At 34.3% G+C, this 21,981-nt stretch overlaps 1 protein-coding gene across 20 annotated transcripts in view; it reads right to left on the minus strand.

The window, feature by feature from the left end:
- Window positions 1-21,981, minus strand: part of COL24A1 (collagen type XXIV alpha 1 chain) — a 427,752-nt gene that overhangs the window by 112,217 nt on the left and 293,554 nt on the right. For all 20 annotated transcript variants that reach the window (NR_146340.2, NR_146341.2, NR_146342.2 and 17 more), the window contains 4 exons: window positions 7,904-7,957; window positions 6,216-6,323; window positions 891-944; window positions 619-672 (listed from right to left, as the gene is read on the minus strand). Coding sequence is in view for 14 of the 20 variants with exons in the window: in XM_047417004.1 (XP_047272960.1) it covers window positions 619-672; window positions 891-944; window positions 6,216-6,323; window positions 7,904-7,957 (270 nt within the window). In the remaining 6 variants the exon portion in view is untranslated. The remainder of the gene's footprint in view (window positions 1-618; window positions 673-890; window positions 945-6,215; window positions 6,324-7,903; window positions 7,958-21,981) is intronic.

Below are 21,981 nucleotides of genomic sequence, written 5' to 3' on the forward strand. Positions count from 1 at the left end.
ATTTGTACAGGGTTCTTCTTGGAGGTATCAATCTCCTTTAATTATATAAGAAGCAGCTCAGGAATTTTCTTAAAGTGTCAGATTTCAATGATATTGTAAATTAAGAATACTGCTGTAGTTATTCCTAAATCATCAAAAAATTTTAATCTTTAATATAAATGAGCCAGGTGCGGTGGTACTCATCTGTCATGCCTGCTACTTAGGAGCCTGGGGTGGGAGGATTGCTTGCTTGGTTTGAGTCCAACCTGGGCAACAGTCAAGATCACTTGATCCTGACTCTCCTGCCCCAAAGACTTTAATATAAATGTACTATAATTAATCATTTAATCTAGAGCCTTACAATTTCTTTAAATAATTAATTTTACTCTTACAAAGCTCTACAAATATTTTCACATATATTATTTCAGCTCAGTCTTGAAACAACCCATGGAAGATATTTTAATAATTTATTTAAATTTTAGCTCCTTGATATTTATTTTTTTCTTCCAGAATTAGTAAAATTTTCAACTTTAAAAGTGCTTCTTTTATTCCTTGAAAATTTTTCCATGCAGTCTTTCAGGAATAATTCATGAACTCAATGTTTAACTTTAAGATTAAAAAGCCAATATATACACAAACCTTTTCTCCTTTAGGTCCTGGCAATCCAGAGGGTCCTGGTTGGCCCTGATGGCCCTACGAAAGGACAAGTAGACATTTATACATGCTCTACCTAGATATTAGATATTGCATTATTCTGAAAGGAAAAATAGGATTCACTGTCTAGGAGGATGAGACCTAAATATGTTAGAAAGGTTTATCAGAGAGATTTCATCTTAATTTGAATATTTGGGATATCATCTTTAATAAAAATGTTTTCATGTGAATATATTTTTTCAATTATAAATACTTACCCTGTACCCTGGAATTCCTGGTTCTCCATCAGGTCCCATCAATCCTAAATGTCCCTGAAAAACAAAGTAAATATTAGTGAGAGAGAGAAAGTAAAGAATTGTTTAAATCATTAGACTTCTACTCCTATTGTTTAAATTGTTACCTTTAGATTTTTCATGGTTGAAATTTACCTAGTTTGAAATAGGAAAGCAAAAAATAACCCCCCAACTTTTGTCTATTTTTTTTTCTGAAACACAAAAAGTTCTGCAACAAATGTCTTTTTGGTTTACTTCTGATATAAATATCCTTAATCATATTAAAAAAAATACTTTCAGTTGTCAGAATCCTGCTGCTCCCTAACGAATTATTGGAAATGTGGTTTACATCTGTCAAAGTTTGTGCCAGATGTGGGTCACTGAATATTAGAGAGTGCAACCTGAGAGTTTTTGACATTGTCACTACGGGATCCAGAACTCCATACTCATTGTTAGTTTCAGATGCTATGATGAATATGGTTTTAGTCCTGGTCAAAGTTATTAAAAGGGAAATGGTTGACAACTTACATGTAATAGTTACCCTATGATTACTCTTATTATCAATATTTTATAGATGGTGAAACCATGTAAGCCAAAGACTAATCAGCAAATGCCCTTAGCCTACTGAATAGATTGCTCAGACAATTGAAAAAGTAAAACAAACAAACAAACAAAAAAAACCTGAAAAAGTCCTATATTTCATATTAGCAAAAAGATTCCATATTGACTCTCCTATTTGAGTCTCAAAACAAATAGAAGATGGGAAAATTAAGGCACAGAATAGGTATGTGACTTGCCAAATGTCATACTAGAACTAAGTCTCTTGATTCTGCATATATAGTATTTCCCATTTAATCATAGTGCTTCACTATATTTGATGATTTCTTTAAATTCCCAGCTCTAAAAATGTTCACATTGCAACTATTAACCATTGATTAGTAAATTTAGACTCATCCAGATAAGAACAAGTTTCAGTCTAAAAAAGGAATTGCACAAAATTAATTTTAAAACATCAATAAGAATTCAGCCATTACCTAGGTGAATAATCTAGAATAGAATGTAACTACTCAGTATTCATTAGCTCAAGATGGCTGAATGACATATGCTTGCTTCAATAGTCTCATCCAACAAAAAAGAGAGAGAGAAAAGAAAGGTATTTATTTGTAATAACAACACTGGAAAATAAGTAAACATCATCAGTGGACCAAAATTTTGTAATTTGAGACAGAAAATTAGGGCTGAAAATATGCAAAGAAAAAAATCATTGCAGATGTGCAAGTAGTCTCAAGGAAATTTCAAATGCTGAAATCAAGACATTGAAGGGGCAGGATAGGTTCAGGTGACTAACTGGGGAAAGGAGTCAGGTATTCCTATTCTACTTGTGCTGGGTAACTGATGATTGCATTTGCCTAGAAGATAAGTGAATGCGTGTGGAAACTGTTGCCCCAAAAGCAGGCAATGCTAAAGGCTGCTGCTGACTCAAGTGACTCTAGAGCCAACATAACAAGAAATAAAATATGCAATTCATAAAAGAAAAAATGAACCTTAATGTACCTAAAATATATATGCAAAATATGTAACCTCCCAAAAATAAGTGGGGAGAAAATGTGATGAACAGATCTCAAAATCTGTTTTCAGAAATCAATGACTCAAATAGCAAGAAAAAAAACAGTAAGAAAGCTATAAGGATTTAAGTAGCTTAGCTAACAACTTGATTTAACAGAAATACTTAGGACTGTTTATTAGCCCCAAAAAAGGAAAAGAAAGAAAGAAAGAAAAGAAAAGAGAAAAAGGAATCTTTTGACAAAATTTGAATATAGTAGTCCTCAAAGAAAATTTTAGTAAATTTCCTCAAAGCAGAAATCATATAGGTCACATCCTCTGGCTATAATGCAATGTAATTAAAAATGAGCAATAAAAATTAAAAATCTACTTAAAAAGAAAGATCCTTTAAGATAACTCTTGTTCAGGAGAAAATAAACTCTGAAATTGCAAGCTATTTATAAGTAAATGATGGTAAAAACACAAACATAAAAATACGGGAATATGGCCAAAGTGGCACTCAAAAGGGAACAGGTAGCTTCATAATGCATTTATTAAATAAATAAAATAAATGGGCCAGACATTTAATTCAAGAAGAGATTAATACTGAAGCAGAAATTAGTGAATCAGAAAACCATTTTAAAAAGTTGAGTGAAAAACAAAGTAGACACTTTGAACTGACTAATAAAAGAGCAAAATATTTGGCAAATCTGATCACCGCAAAGAGTAAACACGATAAAACAACATTAGAAACAAGAAGAACATAACCAAAGGAAAAAAAATTAATTATAAGAAAATAGTCATTTCAAGTTTCACTTACTAAATATGAAAATCTAGTTGAAATTGATACTTTTTGAGAAAAAATTTCAAAAATTTATTCCAGAAGATACAAAATTTGAAAAGAAAGCCAAAGATCTACTGCTAATAAAATAACATTTGGCTCAGATTGTTTTAATAGCAAGTTTTATAAAACCTTTGGAGAACAGACACAATATCTATGTTCCATACTGTTACAGAGCACAGAAAAATATGAAAAATTTACCAACCCATTTTATATGACTTGCTTAACACTTATGCCTAAATCCAATCAATGATAGCATACATTAAAAAAGGATGGAATGAAGAACGATGGAATGAAGAAATAGGCCTACTTTGCTTACAAATACAAATGCAAAACTCTTAAGGTAAACTACATTCAATAAGCTAAAATAAAACTCTTAAATAAAATGTTAAAAAATGAAATCTATTTGCATTAAAATAATAATATAATTAAACCTAAGTAAGATTTATCCTAGGAACTCATGGTTGATTCAACTTTTGGAAATCTATGAAGGAATTTTCTTATATTTACAAACAAAGGAGAGAAAGCATGGGTTTATCTAAACAAATGTTGTAAAAGGATTTGATAAAATTCAACATCTACTATGGGATTATCTAAAAAAATGTTGTAAAAGGATTTGATAAAATTCAACATCTACTCTTGGTCAAAACTCTCATTTAAGAATGAAAATAAATTTCTTTAAACAAATAAATGGTATATCTAAAAAACAACTGTAAACAACACTTGATATTATAAGCATTAGAAGCATTTTCACTAAAGACAGGCCCACAAGACAAGGTTTTCTTCATCATGACTTCTATTCACTGCTATAGTAGAAGTTCTAATCAATGTAGTAATTCAGAGAAGCAAATAAGGGGAGGCAATATTATTTACCTGAAGAATCCCTATGAGAATCATCTACATTCGTTAAAGTGGATATAAGATCAAAATATAATAGCACCAACAGCACCACTAAGTTGATGTAACAGAAAAAGGATTATATTAACACTGAGAATAAAACTCAAAAGCAAAGCAAAACAAAAAAACAAAAATACTAAGAATAAACTTAACAAGAAAGATTAAAGAACAGAGATAAGGGAAATATTTTATTGATGAATATGTAAGCAGATTTGAGTAAATAAAAAGACATATGGTGTTTATAGAAAGATTCAGCATTGAAGGAAATTGAAAGTTCACATGAAAGAGGAAATCATAGCAAGAGTCAAACTTTTTTGTAAAATGAATTATGAAGTATTTGCCCTAACAGAAGGTATCACAATAGTATAGTAAGTAAAATAGTGTGGTATTGACCCAGAAATAGACTACTAGATTCAGAGAATAAAGTAGAAGAAAAACAGACTAATGAATATTTGAGAATTCAGTTTATGGTAAGGGAAGCATTTCAGAAAAGCAGAAAACAGACTGACCACTCAATAAATAGAATTGGAACAACTGTCTATAAGTTTGGAAAAAATAAACTTAGTCTTCTACACCTTATATAAAAAAATACCCACAAAAAAACCAAAAACCTCCATACATCTTAAAGAGTTAAGGTAAAAATAAAGTTATAAAAGTATTAGAAGAATATGGAAGAATATTCTTATATACTTTAGGTAGGGGAGGCATTTCTAATAAAATAAACACAGAAACTGAAAGGGAAAAGACTGACAAGTTTGACTATATAAAAATTAAAATGATCTATACAGCAAAAGATATACAAAATTAAAAGATAAATTGCAGAAAGAAAAGCATTTGTAATATATTTTGTAACATATTTAACAAAAATATATTAATATTTTAAGCATATAAGGAGTGATTGCAAATCAATAAGAAAAAGGCAACAATCTAATGTGCAGTATATATGAACAGGCAACTTCCATAAGAAAAAAGTGCAATTGGGAAAGTGTAAATAGAAAAAATGCAATACACATTCTCACTTATCAGATTGGCAAACATCAAAAGAAGTAATATGAAATGTTGATGGTGGGAGTGCAAATTTGATGAAACCTCTTGGGAAGGTAGGTTGGGAACGTGTCAAATTAAAAAATTAATAACATTATAAAATGTTTTTGTATACAGGTCAAAGACAGAGAAATGCTAGTAATTTAAATGAAAGAAAGTAAGAAAGGCCTAGATCCCAGTAAGGAATAGAATACCGAAAATAAGCCTGAGGCAAACTTTCCTCAGACAACAAATGGATTATGCAATGATCTCTAAAAAGCCTTAGTGAAAAGTCTAGCACTTGTGACATTTAAATGGAGACTACACTAAATGGAAATACGCATGCATTTTGTAAAAAAGCCTATGAAACAGAAGACTCAATTAGATAATCTTTTAAATATTTTGCATCTCTTTCATGCTGACTTTCAGAACAGGTCTAAATACATTCGCAATATAATTTTCCTAATATAAGAGTTCATAAGTATCATGCTACACTTGTTCCTAACATCATGCAAAGTTCCTGAGAAAGATGAAAGATAAAATTAGATGTTAGATTTATCACAATTGGTTAGAAAAATAATATCCAAATAAAGCAGGTTTGTTTCCAACCAGAGAAAGAAAATCCATTTCAAGTAAACCTAATTTTCAAAGCAATTTGTCAACCATGACAGCATAGTTTTATACAGATACTAAATCCCAATTTTAAGTGCTGGCCATATAAAATTTCCTAGTTTGGTTAGGAGTTATAATCTTACTTTTTAAAACCTCATTTCATATTTTATTTCCATTTTCATTTTTTTCTCTTTCCTTTTTCATGTCCAGAAACCACTAAGCCGTTTAAGTACTGTGGAATGCTTACAATTCTCCACATCCCATGGAGGTAGATTATTTTCAATGGAACTATTGCTTTGTCTGTAAAGCTAATCAAGGGATGAAACTTTAAGGGCATGGATACGTTTCTTTCCCATCCACAGTGACTCAATTCTGGAAGCAAGTCAAATACTGACCACAGCACCTCTAGTTCCTCTGGCACCCTTAGGACCACTTTTCCCAATTTTTCCAGGAGGACCTCTGCTTCCAACTTCTCCTGTGGGTCCTATTTGTCCTTTATCACCCTGTGGATGACATTATTAAGAGAGAAAAGCAAGAAAAAAATTTATACTTAGATTAATTAACTATATCATATTCCTGAATAGCTCCTGAGGATTATCTGGTTAACAGTATTACAGATCACTATTAACAACAATAACATACCATCACTATATAAGTTATTTTAAAAATAAAAGTAATTTTGGAAAAAGATAAAATAAAAATTTTGACCAAACAAGCAGGGGGCATCTGGTGCTCATGTTGAATCCAAATAACCGTTTTTTACTTTTGAATTTTGCTATATATGTATGTAAGTATGCATGTATGTGTTGTTACTATAAGAAATCATAAGCTCTTTGGAAAGTCTGTTTCTATAGAGAATTTCAATGCAACAAGGTCTGTTCAATACAAAAAGAGCTCCAGTGTGCAGTTCTGTACATTCAGGATCATCACTCATTGGCTTGGAGTATGCCTTGAAAAATCTGCAACATTTTTACATCACTTTACATCTTTCAGAAAACTAATTATCTTCTGTTTTCTATTAGACACACTGACCTTTCTTTTTTGTTGTTGTTTTTTTTGAGACCAAGTCTCACTATATCACCTAGGCTGGAATGCAGTGGCAAGATCTCAGTTCACTGCAACCTCTGCCTCCTGGATTCAAGCGATTCTCCTGCCTCAGCCTCCCAAGTAGCTGGGATTACAGGCACCCATCAACACGTCCAGTTAATTTTTGTAGTTTTAGCAGAGACAGGGTTTCACCATGTTGGCCAGGCTGGTTTCGATCTCCTGACTTCAAGCGATCCGCCCACCTCGGCCTCCCAAAGTGCTGGGATTACAGGTGTGAGCCACTGCGCCCAGCCAACAAACTGACCTTTCTTTAGCACCAAAATATAGCTGTTCTTAAACAACATTGTGTTATTCTTCATTTTCCTAAGTGAGAACCAACCTGTTCTATTATTGATAAACAAGAAGATACAAAGAAAAACTACTGTGAACACAGTTGGACAGGAAATTTTTGGGATTCATAACAGCTAAGAGGCTTTATTTTATTTTTCCAGGGGTGCAGGTTGTTATTATACAAAGACTTGCACTGTCTCACTATGAATGTTGATTTTAGTAAAATATTTTTAGTAAAATATAAAGTAAGCAAATAAAAATATTCTTGATTTGTAGTTCTTCATATATGGAAAAAATAAAACCAACTTAGAAAAACACATTGACAACAAATAATTATAGTTACATTCTCTTCCCTCAAATACTTTACTAAAGTTGTCATTGAAAAGCACAAATGGTATAGTATTTTCCTTTTATCTTTCTTCTTGCCCATGGTCTACTAAAAGAATTTTTGGCAAACAAGAGAAAGAAGGAAAAGCCAAGATTTTTTACAAACTACAAAATGGAAAATTTGCCTTCAAATAATCACGATAATAAGTACTCCTAACTGAAATTAAATATTAATTTATATAAATGTATCTTTTAAAGCAACATTTATAATTCTTTACTACTTTACTATCTAGTCCAAATTAAAAACATTACAGCAGTCTATGGAGTTCTGGGCACATCAGAAGAAAGAAAACCTGCATAAGAAGATGTAAAAAATTACCTTTTTTCCTGGACGACCTCTTTGCCCTGGAATTCCCACAATTCCTTCAGGTCCCTAAAATATTCAATATAAAAAAGGAAATAAATGGTTAAAGAAAAGATGAGATGGAGTATTTGAATACTTCTATCAGATAATCACTGGATTGGATTGGACGAGAAGTAAAAATGAGGGTTAATTTTCACATTATTAGGTTTGTATCATTTAAAAAGAGGTCACAATGACTTAGAGGTGTAGCTGTTATTAGCTATAAAGTTCACATGCACAAACTGGCCAAGAGAGTCTTAATTACACTGTTCATTATTCTAGGTGGAACATTACTTAGATTCAGTATACCCATTTTAATTAGAGAGAATGTAATTAAAGTTAACCCATGCCTTCTACGTCACAGGCTGTAAAACACGTTTAACTAAAATAAAAAAGTATAAACCCAAAGGCATCCATCTCAGCATTTCTATCAGCTACTGGGAGCTCAGCATCTTGTGGAAAGTACAGGACTTCTGCCTATCCAATGAAGTCTCCACACACATATGAAAGAAAGTACAGAGTATAAAATACATCTAGTACATGGTCAAGGAAAATTTCAATGTGTCTAGTACGTGGTCAAAGAAAATCTCAAAATCTCACTGGAGTAGAAAGAGTTAAAGAGATATTCGTTGATCTGTGGGAAAAAAAGAAGGAAATACAGAGAGAAAAAGGAGGTAATCATATAAAACTTAAAAATAATATTTTCATTTCAATTTGTCCTTTGTGTAGCTAAAAGTATATTAAAAGTTTTCAATATACACTTTTTTTTAAGTAAAAGTGGGGCACTATATGAATTTTCAGGTAAACAATGGTTAGGCTTAAGTGAGTTCCACAGTAAGCCAGGTTGCAAGTTCTAAAATGGCTAATAATTAATCACAACATTCCCTGCATTCGCTGGAAATGAAAATAGAAATCTCAAATTTGTGTCCCAAAAGCTTGGCAAATTGCAAAAATGATGTAGACAAGAAATAACTTGTGGTTTACCACTGTGCTATGTAGGCTCTAGATAAATATTTGTTGAACGAATAAACAGATACCTAAGGAAATGACTCATACCCTATGCTCCTGAGAAAATGCTCTTCTAGCCTCAGAAAATCACTGAATTTAGAGGCCAAAGCTGTTGTGCTCTATTGCTGTAGTTATAGCTGCATCCAGAGGTAGAAATGGTAGTTGCACTAACCTGAGGACTTCTTTGAAGTTAATGAGGCCTTTCAAAAAGAGGCTGATTAATCTTCATAGAGATTAAAGGTGTGAGCTTTTAAAAGTCAGACTGCTCCCATTTCATATTCTGGCTCTGGCACCTAACACCTACCTATACAGCCGTAGGTAGATTATTTAATTTCTAAAGGCCTCAGATTCCTGTTAAATAAAAGAGGTATAAAAGAACATCTTCAAAGACTAAGAGCAAATAAGAGAATGCATGTAAACTTTAGAAAGGACTAGACTTATGATGAAGAGCTCAAAATATGCTAGTCGTTATTAACTTCTGCTGTTTATTAAAAGTGTATTACACAATATTTAAGTACATGTAAAGATGTTAAAAGGTACAATGAAAGCCCGTTTACCTACATCTACTTTAAGAAATAGAACCAATATATGTGTATGTCTATGTGTGTGTGTGTGTGTATATATATATATATATATCTACATATATATATACATATAATTGAAGCCCCACATTAAACATATACTTATCCAAACTCATCACCCTTTTTCCCTACTCAGGTGCAATCATTGTCTTGAATTTTATTGTTCCTACACATTTCTTAATAATTTTACTCCATTTGTATCCCCAAGTAATATGTATTTTGTATCTTTAAAAATTTTTAAAAAGCAGTATCATACTTTATGTGTTCTCCTGAAACTTCTTTTTAACACATTTTTGTTTTGAAATTACTGTGTCTTTAATTCATTTACTTAAAAAAATGCTACAGGATTCCATGTTATTATCAAACCACAACTTAAGTATTTTTCCCGTTGGTTAATGTTTTGGTGGCTTTCTTTTGCTATTACAGACAATGCTGGAATAAACACTCTGTACTTGTCTCTATGTGCTCATGTCAAGAGTTTTTATAGGGTATGTACCCTGGAATTGAATTGCTGGGTTGTAGGATACATGCATCTTCAAGCATATCAGATATTGTCAAATTGTTCTCCAAAGTGATTTTGCCAATTTACATCCTCAATGGCAATGTTTAAGAGTTCCACTTACTTCATATTTCCTATAATGCTTGATCGTATGAGACTTAAAATGGGTGCAGAATGATGTTATCATTTCAATTTATGTTATTGGTTATTATGGAAAAACGTATAGCTACTCATAAAGTTATCGGACATCTATATCTCTATGTGAATTTCTGGTTCCTATCTTGTGCCCGTTATTCTACTGGGCTGTCTTATTTAGTTACATGTATATGTTTTTATACATACTTATATTTTGTTCATTCCATATATCACAAATCTCTTCTCCCAGCTTGTATCTTATTTTCTCACCTTGTTTATTACGACTTTGGACTAACACAAGTTTGCAATTTTAATGCAGTCAAAGTCATTAATATTTTCTTTCTGTTTCTTTTAGTGCTTTGTTTTAAGAAATCTTTACTGCTTCCCCTTTCCTTATAAGGTCATAAAATATTATCTTAAATGTTCTCCCAAGAGTTTTAAGATTTTGATTTTAACAGTTAAGCCTTTAATCAATTGGAATGTAATTTTGCGGGGTGTGTGTTTGTGTGTGTGCGCGCACGTGCGCATTTGTGTGAGGGAGAGTATTTTTTTTTTCATTTGGATAACCAATTGTACTGGTATCATTTATTAAATTGTTCATTTCCTTATAGATCTGTAGTGCATAATCAATTTATCAAAAATCAAGTTTCAAAATATACTTATATCTGATTCTACATTATCTTCAATTTCCATTGGTCTGTTTGTTTATTTGTGAATGAGTATGGCACTAACTAACTTAATTACTCTAGCTTCAATAATAAGTTATATCAGATAGGTCAGATTCTCTCTTCCACCTCCTCCACAACCATCCCACCTCTGCACAACTTATTCTTTAAAGTTGTCTTAATATTGGCCCTTTGGTTTTCCACACAAATTTTTAAATCACTTTTTATCAATCAAGTTTTATTAAAAATCCCATTGGGATTTTGGTTGAAATTGTATTAAGTGTATTCATTAATATAGGAGAAGATTGATAATTTTATAATATTGAGTTTTCCTATCATGAATATAAAATAACTGTCCATTTATTTAGTTCTTTAATAAATGATTATAATTTCTTTAATTGCAAAAATTTTCCACACCATTTTTACAAATATTTTGTTTAGATGTATTGCTAGGTACTTAATTTTGTGGCTAATTGTGTTGGAAATTGCATTTAAAAATATCTAACTGCTCATTGCTGGTGAAAAAGAATGGAACCTATTTTTGTATATTACTTTTATTTATTTATTTAGAGACATTGTCTTGCTATGTTGCCCAGGCGGGACTTGAACTCCTAGGATCAAGCAATCCACTCACCTCAGCCTCTCGAGTTACTGGAAGTACAGGCGCATGCCACAGTAACCACAGTATTATGTTTTATTTTTTCTATCTAACTTTTATTTTAGGTTCAAGGGGTACATGTGCAGGTTTGTTATGTGGATAAATTATGTGTCACATGGATTTGGTGTACAGATAATTTTGTCACCTAGGTAATTGGCATAATATCTGATAGGCAGTTTTTCAGTCCTCACCCTCCTCCCACCCTTCACTCTCAAGTAGGTCCTGATGTTAATTGTTCCTTTCTTTGTGTCCATGTGTACTCAAGGTTTAGCTCCAACTTAAAGAGAACATGTGGTATTTGGTTTTCTGTTCCCACATTAATTTGCTTAGGATAATGGCCTCCAGCTGCATCCATGTTGCTGGTTAAGGACATGATCTTGTTCTTTTTCTATGGCTGCATAGGATTCCATGGTGTATACATACCACTTTTTTTTTTATCCAGTCCACTGTTGATGGAGATCTAGGCTGATTCCATGTCTTTGCTATTGTGAATGGTGCTGCGCTGAAGATAAATGCGCATGCATCTTTATGGTAGAACAGTTTATATTCCTTTGGGTATATACCCAGTAATGGGACTGCTGGGTTGAATGGTAGTTCTTTTAAAGTTCTTTGAGAAATCTCCAGACTATTTTCCACAGTGGCTGAGCTAATTTACATTCCCACTAGCAGTGTATAAGTGTTCACTTTTCTCTGCAACTTCACCAGCATGTTATTTTTTGACTTTTTAATAAAAGCCATTCTGACTGGTATGAGATGGTATCTCATTGTGGTTTTGATTTGCATTTCTCTAATGATTAGCAACATTGAGCATTTTTTCATCTACTTGATGGCCAAATGTATGTCTTTTTTTGAGAAGTGTATGTTCAAGTCCTTTACCCATTTTTAATGGGTTTGTTTGTTTTTTGCTTATTGATTTAAGTTCTTTATAGATTCTGGATATTAGACCTTTGTTGGATGCATAATTTGCAAAAACTATCTCCTGTTCTTAGGTTGTCTGTTTACTCTTTTGACAGTTTCTTTTGCTGTGCAGAAACTCTTTAGTTTAATTAGGTTCATTTGTCAAGTTTTGTTTTTGATGCAATTGCTTTTGGAATCTTTGTCATGAAGTCTTTGCAAGGGCTGATGTCCAGAATAGTATTCCCTAAGTTCTCTTCTAAGGTTTTTATAGTTTTAGGTTTTATATTTAAGCATTTAATCCATCTTAAATTGATTTTTGCATGTGGTAAAAGGTAGGGGTCCAGCTTCAATCTTCTGCATATGGCTAGCCAGTTATCCCAGCACCATCTACTGAATAGGGTAAACTTTCCCCATTGCTTGTTATTATCGGCTTTGTCAAAGGTCAGATAGCTGTAGTTGTGTGGCTTTATTTCTCGGTTCTCTAACCTGTTTCATTGGTCTGTGTAACTGTTTTTGTACCAGTACAATATTGTTTTAGTTACTGTAGCCTTGTAGTATAGTTTGAAGTCAGGTACTTGTGATGCCTCCAGCTCTATTCTTCTTGCTTAGGATTACTTTGGCTACTTGGGCTCTTTTTTGATTCCATAAGAATTTTAGAATGGCTTTTGCTAATGCTGTGAAAAACGTTCTTGGTAATCTGATAGGACTGGCATTGAGTCTTTAAATTGCTTTTGAGAAGTATGGCCATTTTACCAATATTGATTCTTCCTATCCATGAGCATAGAAGGTTTTTACATTTGTTTGTGTTGCCTCTGATTTCTTTCAGCAGTGTCTTGTAATTCTAATTGTAGAGATCTTTCACCTCCCTGGTTACTGTATTCCTAGGTTTTTGTTTTTTTTTTTTGAGATAAAGTCTCGCTCTGTCACCAGGCTGGAGTGTAGTGGTGTGATCACAGCTCACTGCAACCTCACCTCCTGGGTTCAAGCGATTCTCCCGCCTCAGCCTCCTGAGTAGCTGGGACTACAGGTGTGCACCACCACGCTCAGCTAATTTTTGTATTTTTAGTAGAGAAGGGGTTTCACCATGTTGGCCGGGATGGTCTTGATCTCTTGACAGCGTGTTCCACCTGCCTCGGCCTCCCAAATATTCCTAGGTATTTTATTCTTTTTGTGGCTATTATGAGTGGCATTAAACTCTTGATTTGTTTCTCAGCTGGGATGTTATTGGTGTATAGAAATGCTATTAATTTTTGTACGTTGATTTTGTATTCTGAAACTTTGCTGAAGTTGTTTATCAGATCTAGGAGCCTTTGAACAGAGACTATAGGGTTTTCTAGGTACAGAATCATATAATCTGCAAAAAGAGTTTGACTTCCTCTTTTCCTATTTGGATGCCTTTTATTTCTTTCTTTTGTCTGACTGCTGTGACTGAGAGTTCCAGTACTATATTAAGTAGGAGTGGTGAGAGTTCCATCTCTCAAGGGGAATGCTTCCAGCTTTTGCCTATTAGGTATAACATTGGCTGTGGGTTTGTCATAGATGACAGTTATTATTTTGAGGTATGTACTTTCAATGTCAAGTTTGTTGAGGGTTAACATTGAGGCACGTTGAATTTTATTGAAAGCTTTTTCTGTACCTATTGAGATGATCATGTGTTTTTTGTTTTTAGTTATATTTATGTGATGGATCACATTTATTGATTTACATATGTTGAACCAATCTTGCATCCCAGGAATAAAGCCTACTTGATCATGATGGATTAGCTTTTTGATGTGCTGCTAAATTCAGTTTGCTAGTATTTTGTTATCGATTCTTGCATCTATGTTCAACAGGGATATTGACCTGAAGTCTTCTTTTTTTGTTGTTGTATATCAGAATGATGCTGGCCTCATGCAATGAATAAGGGAGGAATCCCTCCTATTCAATTTTTTGGAATGGTTTCAGTAGGATTGGTACCAGCTCTTCTTTATAGCTCTGGTAGATTATGGCTGTCAATCTGGTCCTGGGCTTTTCTGGTTGGTAGGTTTCTAAGTCACTGATTCAATTTCAGAACTCATTATTGGTCTGCTCAGGGTTTCAGTTTCTTCCTGGTTCAATCTTGGGAGGTTGTATGTTTCCAGGAATTTATGAATTTCTTCTAGGTTTTCTGGTTTGTGTGCAGAGAGGTGTTCATAATAGTCTCTGAGGGTTTTTTGTATTTCCGTGGTATTGATGGTAACATCCCCTTTGTCATTTCTGAATGTGTTTATTTGGATCATCTCCCTGCCTGTTTTTCTTTATTAGTCTAGCTAATGGTCTATAAATCTTATTTATTCTTTCAATAAATGAAGTTTTGGTTTTGTTGACCTTTTGTATGTTTTATTCTCATCTCCATTTTGTTCAGTTCAGCTTTGATTTTGGTTATTTCAGCTTTTGGGTTTGTTTTGCTCCTGTTTTTCTAGTTCCTCTAGGTGTGATGTTATGCTGTTAATTAGATATTTTTCTAACTTTTTAATGTAGGTAGGTATTTAGTGCTATAAACTTCCCTCTTAACACTGCTTTAGCTGTATCCCAGAGATTCTTGTATGTTGTATCACTGTTTTCATTAGTTTCAAAGAATTTCTTGATTTCTGCTTTAATTTCATTGTTTACCCAAAAGTCTTTCAGGAGCAGACTGATTAATTTCCATTTAATGGTATAGTTTTGAGAAATTTGTATTCTAATGATTCCCTAATTATATCACCTGTTCTCACTCCATCACTGACTTTCTGATTACCCTACCTAATGATAGCTCTTTGCATTTGTATTTGGTATGTTAAACTTTACGCGTCCAAAACCAAAGTCTCTAAATCCCTCCTCCTAACCCTAAACTGCTTTCCTCCTACTCTTCCCCACCTCCACTGTAATAAGGCAAAATTTGAAAATTAGTAAAATGGTTTTCTTTCTTGCCTCTTTGAATATGAGGAGTTTGCCTGTTCAGCCTCAGGTGTCTGTACGCCCAAAGGCTGAATGCCTTAAAATAATATTTTTCTGTTTTCCTTGTTTCCAACTTTTAACATTTCATGAGTTGAGTCTGGAGCACCTAGCACACAAAGCTGTCCTGTGATAGAGAAGACACTTTCCATGTATTACCATAAGGCTTTTACTAGATGATAGAAGGATGAGGATATGACATAGGGGAAGTAAAGAGAAGCATGGAGGTTTTGTTTGTCTGTTTGTTTTGGCTCCAGGAGAATGTGGGAAGGCAAAGGAGGAGAGAGAGACATATTTTCCTTTTTCTGAGTTTTGTCAGAGAGAGATCTTTTTTGCAATTACTCATTTGGAATTTGAAAGGTATCTTTTGTAGATATCACCTGGTGGGTAGCCCTGTCAATATGGTTACTCAACAACAAAGTCAAAATGAGGAAGACCATATGGTTAAATTTTCCTGAGCTACTCTTCGATTCCTATATGATGTAGATGGCAACTCAGAAACAGCTGGGAAGTTTGTGGCAGGGACAGGGTGATCACTACTCTAGGAATATATAGCTCTACAATAAGGGCTGGAGAGCAGGTTTCCTTGGCTAGTACTGAATAAGGACCACAACAGACCTCAGAGACATCTATAGAAATTAGTGGGACCTGATGTGAGACCAGTTCAGCAAGGGAACCCTCTTCTCCAAAAAAAAAAAAAAAGAAAAAAAAAAAGACAAAGAAAAAAATGAAAATTACTAGATGTAAACATCATCAGCAGAAACCATCAGGGTAGGCGGTGAGGGAAGATTACCCTGTCCCAATTAGCACAAATAACACCTGCATCAATATCCAAGGCATCCTCATCCTTGCAATCACAAGACACACAGACTCAATGTTGGAAAGGAGTAAAAGAGAGAGGTCAAGGACTGATACACTTGAGAGACTAAGCATCTTGATAGTCTGAGCACCTGAAGAAACTACTACTTTATATGATTAGATTAAGTTTAAGCATTCAACTGAGTCAGATTTTAAATTTTCTCTTTGCCTGCTGCCATCCCCCGCAACCCCAATGCATTCCACTAATCAGTAAGTAGGAGCTTGTGAGGAAAACCAGATGAGCCAGAAATAAAGAAGTTACATATTTGCACATCTGTAAGTACAAATTTGTTGCTCTGTTACACATTTAATGGCATGATTATCCACTCAGTTGCTCAGGCTAAAATCTAGGGTTTATTATTTATTACTTTATCCCATCTTCTCAACATCTAAACCAGGAGCAAATTCAGTTAGCTATGCCTCTAAAATATGTCTTGAATCTGATCATTATTCACTATCACTGTGTTTTCTCATTCCAAGCCACCAACATTTTTCATCTAGACTACTGCCAAAGCTTTATAAGTGGTTTGGTCCACTTTTAACCCCATAGCTCACTTCTTCACAATAGCCCAAATAATCACTAACAATTTTAATCATACCCTTCTGCCTGTTCAAAACCTTCCAAATGACTGTCCATTGCAATGAGAATAATCACCAAACCTCTTATCATGGTCTATAATTCCCTATGATCTGGCTCCTACCATTTCTCTGACATCATGTTTTCCAATTATTTACTATAATCTAGATACAGGGCTCTTTTTCATTTTTTTCTTTTCTTTTTAAAACCCCTTCTGCCTTAGGGCCTTTGCGTTAGATATTCCCTCTATTTAGAAATCTCTTTTCCTCAGATAATCACATAGGTGGCTTTCTCTATGCTTAGGTGCCTGGCTCAATGCAGCCTCAGGTAGTACTTCTGTGACCACCCTAAATAGGTAACCCCTTTACCTGGTCACTCCACATCCCAATAACATATTTTCTCCTTATTTTCTCCCTCCTTCCTTCCTTCCTTCCTTCCTTCCTTCCTTCCTTCCTTCCTTCCTTCCTTCCTTCCCTCCGTCCTTCTTCCCTCCCTCCGTCCCTGCTTCCCTTCTTTCCTTCTTTCCCTTTCCTTTCCTTCTTTTCTTTTCTTTTCGGACGGTCTTGCTTTGTCACCTACGCTGGAGTGCAGTGGCATGATCATGGCTCACTGCAGCCCCGACCTTCCAGCAATCTCAAGCAGATCCTCCCACCCTAGTAGCTGGGACCACAGGTGTAAGCCACCACACCCAGCAAATTTTACAAAATTTTTGGTAGCGATGGGGGTTCTTTATGTTGCCCAGGCTGGTCTTGAACTCCACGGCCCAAGTGGTCCTCCCGTCTCAGCCTCCCAAATGCTGGGATTATAGGCATGAATCACTGCACTCAATCTTTATTTCCTTCACAGCACTTATCACTACCAGAATTATCACTCATGTTGAAATTGTCTTCCCACATTAGAATACAAATTCCTACAAATTTCATGACAGCATGAACCTTGTCTGTTTTGTTCACTGCTGTAACATTAACATTCATAACTGTGCCTGGCTTAATAAATATTTAATGAATGAATAAATGAATGACAGAATGTATGCCCAAAATTGAAAATAATTAGCCCTAATCAGACAGTAAGGTAGTCTATTAGGTATTCACTTGTAAGAAAATAACATTTTAAAGAACATGCATTAAATGTTGAAAGTAAAACCAAAGTTTATGAGTAAAAGGCAAAGTAGAGTGAGAGATTTTCATAATATTTTTTAGCTTCTAGGGAACAGAACATATGAATCTATTAGGAATTTTTTGCACAGTAAACTTCTGCACATATTTAAAGAACCCATTATATGTGAGAAAAGGGGTTGCGTTATTCTATATTGTATTTTCTTGTTATTATAATCAGAAAGGTCCCCCCTGGTTATTTGTTCAGTATTTTTCTCTTCAAGGATATGTTGTTGTTATATTTTTTTTAGGAGGAAGTGTAAATTTCCACTGCTAGTAGGCTGGTTTATTTTAGTGCTTTTCCTGAAATGTGTAAGTAATATTTTGCTCCAAAATGTTGGCTTTTAAAAGTTAACATTGCCCACTGCAACCCATTTGTGTATCTAGAGGTTTGCAGGGCATATAGGAAAAATAGCAACTTTTTTTTACTATGTACATGTTAAAATGGATTTATTCAATAATTACAGAAAGAAGAATGCTATTTTTTTGGTGTGTGCCTATAGTCCCAGCTATTTGGGAGGCTGAGGCAGGAGAATTCCTTGGGTCCAGGAGTTTAAGTCCAGCCTGAGCAACATAGCAAGACCGCATCTCTTTAAAAATGCTATTTTATACAATTTATATATGTCATTTATCTATGTCATGTTGATTGAGAATAGTCAGCTTGGTGTTGCTTACTAATAAAATAGAGGAACCAGTTGGGATTCCCTATTTTAGACTTTGTGAAAGTAGCTATTTTGTCTCAGAAGTATCACATCATATCTATTTTTAAAACAGATTTATTGAGGAATAATTAACATTTACATATGTGATAGTTACATGATACTATATACTCATACATGATATCCACGTATCATGTATATGAATTATGTGCCCATTTAATGTGTACAATTAGATGATTTTTAGTATATTCACATAGTTGTGTAACCATCACCAAAATCAATTTTAGAACATTTTCGTCACTTCCCCCCAAAATCTCATTATCATAAGAAGTCACTCCCCATTTCTTTCCAACCCCTCTAGCCCTAGGCAACCACTAATCCACTTTCTGTATGTATAGATTTGCCTATTTAGGACATTTCATATAAAAGTACAATATGTGGGCCAGGCACAGTGGCTCACGCCTGTAATCCCAGCAGTTTGGGAGGCAGAGGCGGGCAGATCACGAGGTCAGGAGATTGAGATCAACCTGGCTAACACGGTGAAATCCCATCTCTACTAAAAATACAAAAAATTAGCCAGGCGTGGTGGTGGGTGCCTGTAGTTCCAGCTACTCGGGAGGCTGAGGCAGGAGAATGGCGTGAACCTGGCAGGTGGAGCTTGCAGTGAGCCAAGATCGTGCCACTGCACTCTAGCCTGGGCGACAGAGCAAGACTCTGTCTCAAAAACAAAAAGAAATAAACAAAAAACAATTCAATATGTGGTTTCTAGTGAATTGCTTCTTTCATTTAGCATAATGTTTTCGAGGTTAATCCATGCTGCACCATGTACTCGTACACCATTCCTTTTTATTGTCAAATAATATTTCGCATGTTATTTATTAATTCATCAGGTGATGCCCATTTGGGTTGTTTCTACTTTTTCGCTCTTATAAATCATGTGCTGTGAAAATTCATGTACAAGCTTTTGTTTAAATGCAATTCTCTTGGACATACGTACCTAGAAGTGGAATTGCTGGGTCATATGGTAAGTCCATGTTTAACATTTTGCAGAACCGCCAAACTGGTTTACGAAGAAACTGCAGATTTTATATCTCATCAGCAATGTATAAGGGTTCCAATTTCTCTATATCCTCATTAACACTAACCATCCTAGTAGGTATGAAGTGGTATCTCATTGTGGTTTTGATTTGCATTTTCCTGATATTTGTAATGATATTGAGCATCTTTTCATGCACTTATTAGTCATTTGTATATCTTCTTTGGAGATATTTAAGTCTGTCCATTTTTCACTTATGTTAATTATCTTATTATCAGATTGTTAATATATTCTGGATACGAGTCCCTTATCATATATGATTTTCAAATATTTTCTCCTATTATGTGGGTTGATCTTTTACTTTCTTGATTGTGTCCTATGAACCAACAATCTTTTAATTTTAATGAAGTCCAATTTATCTTAGAAGACGTACTCCCATGTTTTCTTCTAAGACTTTTACAGTTTTAGCTCTTACATTTAGGTCTATGACTCATTTGGAGTTCATTTTTTTCTGCAGTAGAAGGAAGGGTTCAACTTTATTCTTTTGCATGTGGTTATCCAGTTGTTCCAGCACTATTTGGTGAAAAGACCATTCTTTCTCTCACTGAATTGTCTTGGCGTATGATGTGCTTTTCTAAGTGAAATTTATTTTGTTCTTTTCCTGTAATTCGTTTCATTTCTTGAGATAGCCAATAACACTAACCACACTTTGAATAAAACCCAAATTTCTTATCATAGCTTAAAAAGTCCTTCATGATCTACTTCCTACCTATTTCTTCAAGCTCATCTCAAACAACTTTTCACTATTTATTATGCTGCAGCTGTAATACCCTTTTAGTTTTCTAAAAATACTCAGCTCATTCTCACCTCTATATCTTGGCCATTGCTGCTTCATCTATCTTGAAGGATCTTCCCACAGTTCTTTGCTTGATGGGTTCCTTTTTACTCTCCATGTCTCAATGTAATTGTCCCCTATTCAGAGAAGCCTTCTCTCACTACCCTAGCTGATATATGTTCTCTATCTTTAACTAGTTGGCTTTTCTACCCATAATCAGTTATTCTCTTTCATTAGTATGTTTATTTCCATTATTGCATTATCACAATCTGCAGTGATCTTTTAATCTTTCAGTCTTCTTCATTAGATTATAACATTTGAGGATCAGGAAACTTGGTAGTCTTGTTCCCCACTGTATCCCTAATGTTTAGCAGAGTTCTTGGCTCATAGAAGGTACTCAAAAACTTCATCGAATTCACAAATGAACACAAATATTTTATAGAATCACAGTCTGTAAGGCTGAATAAAAGTTTAGAAAATCTAAGACAATGAATTTTTTTAAAGCCTTAGAACCTTTACTTCCAAAGAAAATCTACGTTAAAAATCTATGTTAAAAAGACATACAAGGACCATTCCTGACTGATACAGGAATAGAAAAAATGGGGCCCTGCTAACTTAGCATCCCTCCTGACACAATCATCTTGGGAAGTTCTGCATAGCTCCAACCCGTTTGTTTTGTGTCATGTGTGAACATATAAATCAAAGAATGACTCACTCAACAATGTACAGCTCTTTAGTGGGAGATGAGGGACACAGTGGTCAGTGCAGGGCTTGCTATTTGTGTTGCTTTATGATGAAACTGTTCAGAATAAACAAGCCTAACACCAGAGTCACAGAAACCATTCAGATGATAAAGAGTTAGATAATCATTTACTCCATAATGCCACTTAATGCTGACCCTAAATTCCCAACTGATTGTTTCCAAGGAAACTATGTTAGAAACAAGAAACACTTCTGTGAAGAAAGTCAATGGTAGCTTGATGGGGATGGCATTGAATCTATAAATTACCTTGGGCAATATGGCCATTTTCATGATACTGATTCTTCCTATCCATGAGCATGGAATGTTCTTCCATTTGTTTGTGTCCTCTTTTATTTCATTAAGCAGTGGTTTGTAGTTCTCCTTGAAGAGGTCCTTCACATCCCTTGTAAGTTGGATTTCTAGATATTTGATTATCTTTGAAGCAATTGTGAATGGGAGTTCACTCATGATTTAGCTCTCTGTTTGTCTGTTATTGGTGCATAAGAATGCTTGTGATTTTTGCACATTGATTTTGTATGCTGAGACTTTGCTGAAGTTGCTTATCAGCTTAAGGAGATTTTGGGCTGAGACGATGGGGTTTTCTAAATATACAATCATGTCATCCACAAACAGGGACAATTTGACTTCCTCTTTTCCTAATTGAATACCCTTTATTTCTTTCTCCTGCCTGATTGCCCTGGCCAGAACTTCCAACACTATGTTGAGTAGGAGTGGTGAGAGAGGGTATCCTTGTCTTGTGCCAGTTTTCAAAGGGAATGCTAGACTTCAATGTTAGAT

The sequence above is a fragment of the Homo sapiens genome, chromosome 1 (assembly GCF_000001405.40).
Source record: "Homo sapiens chromosome 1, GRCh38.p14 Primary Assembly".
NCBI classification, from domain to species: domain Eukaryota; kingdom Metazoa; phylum Chordata; class Mammalia; order Primates; family Hominidae; genus Homo; species Homo sapiens.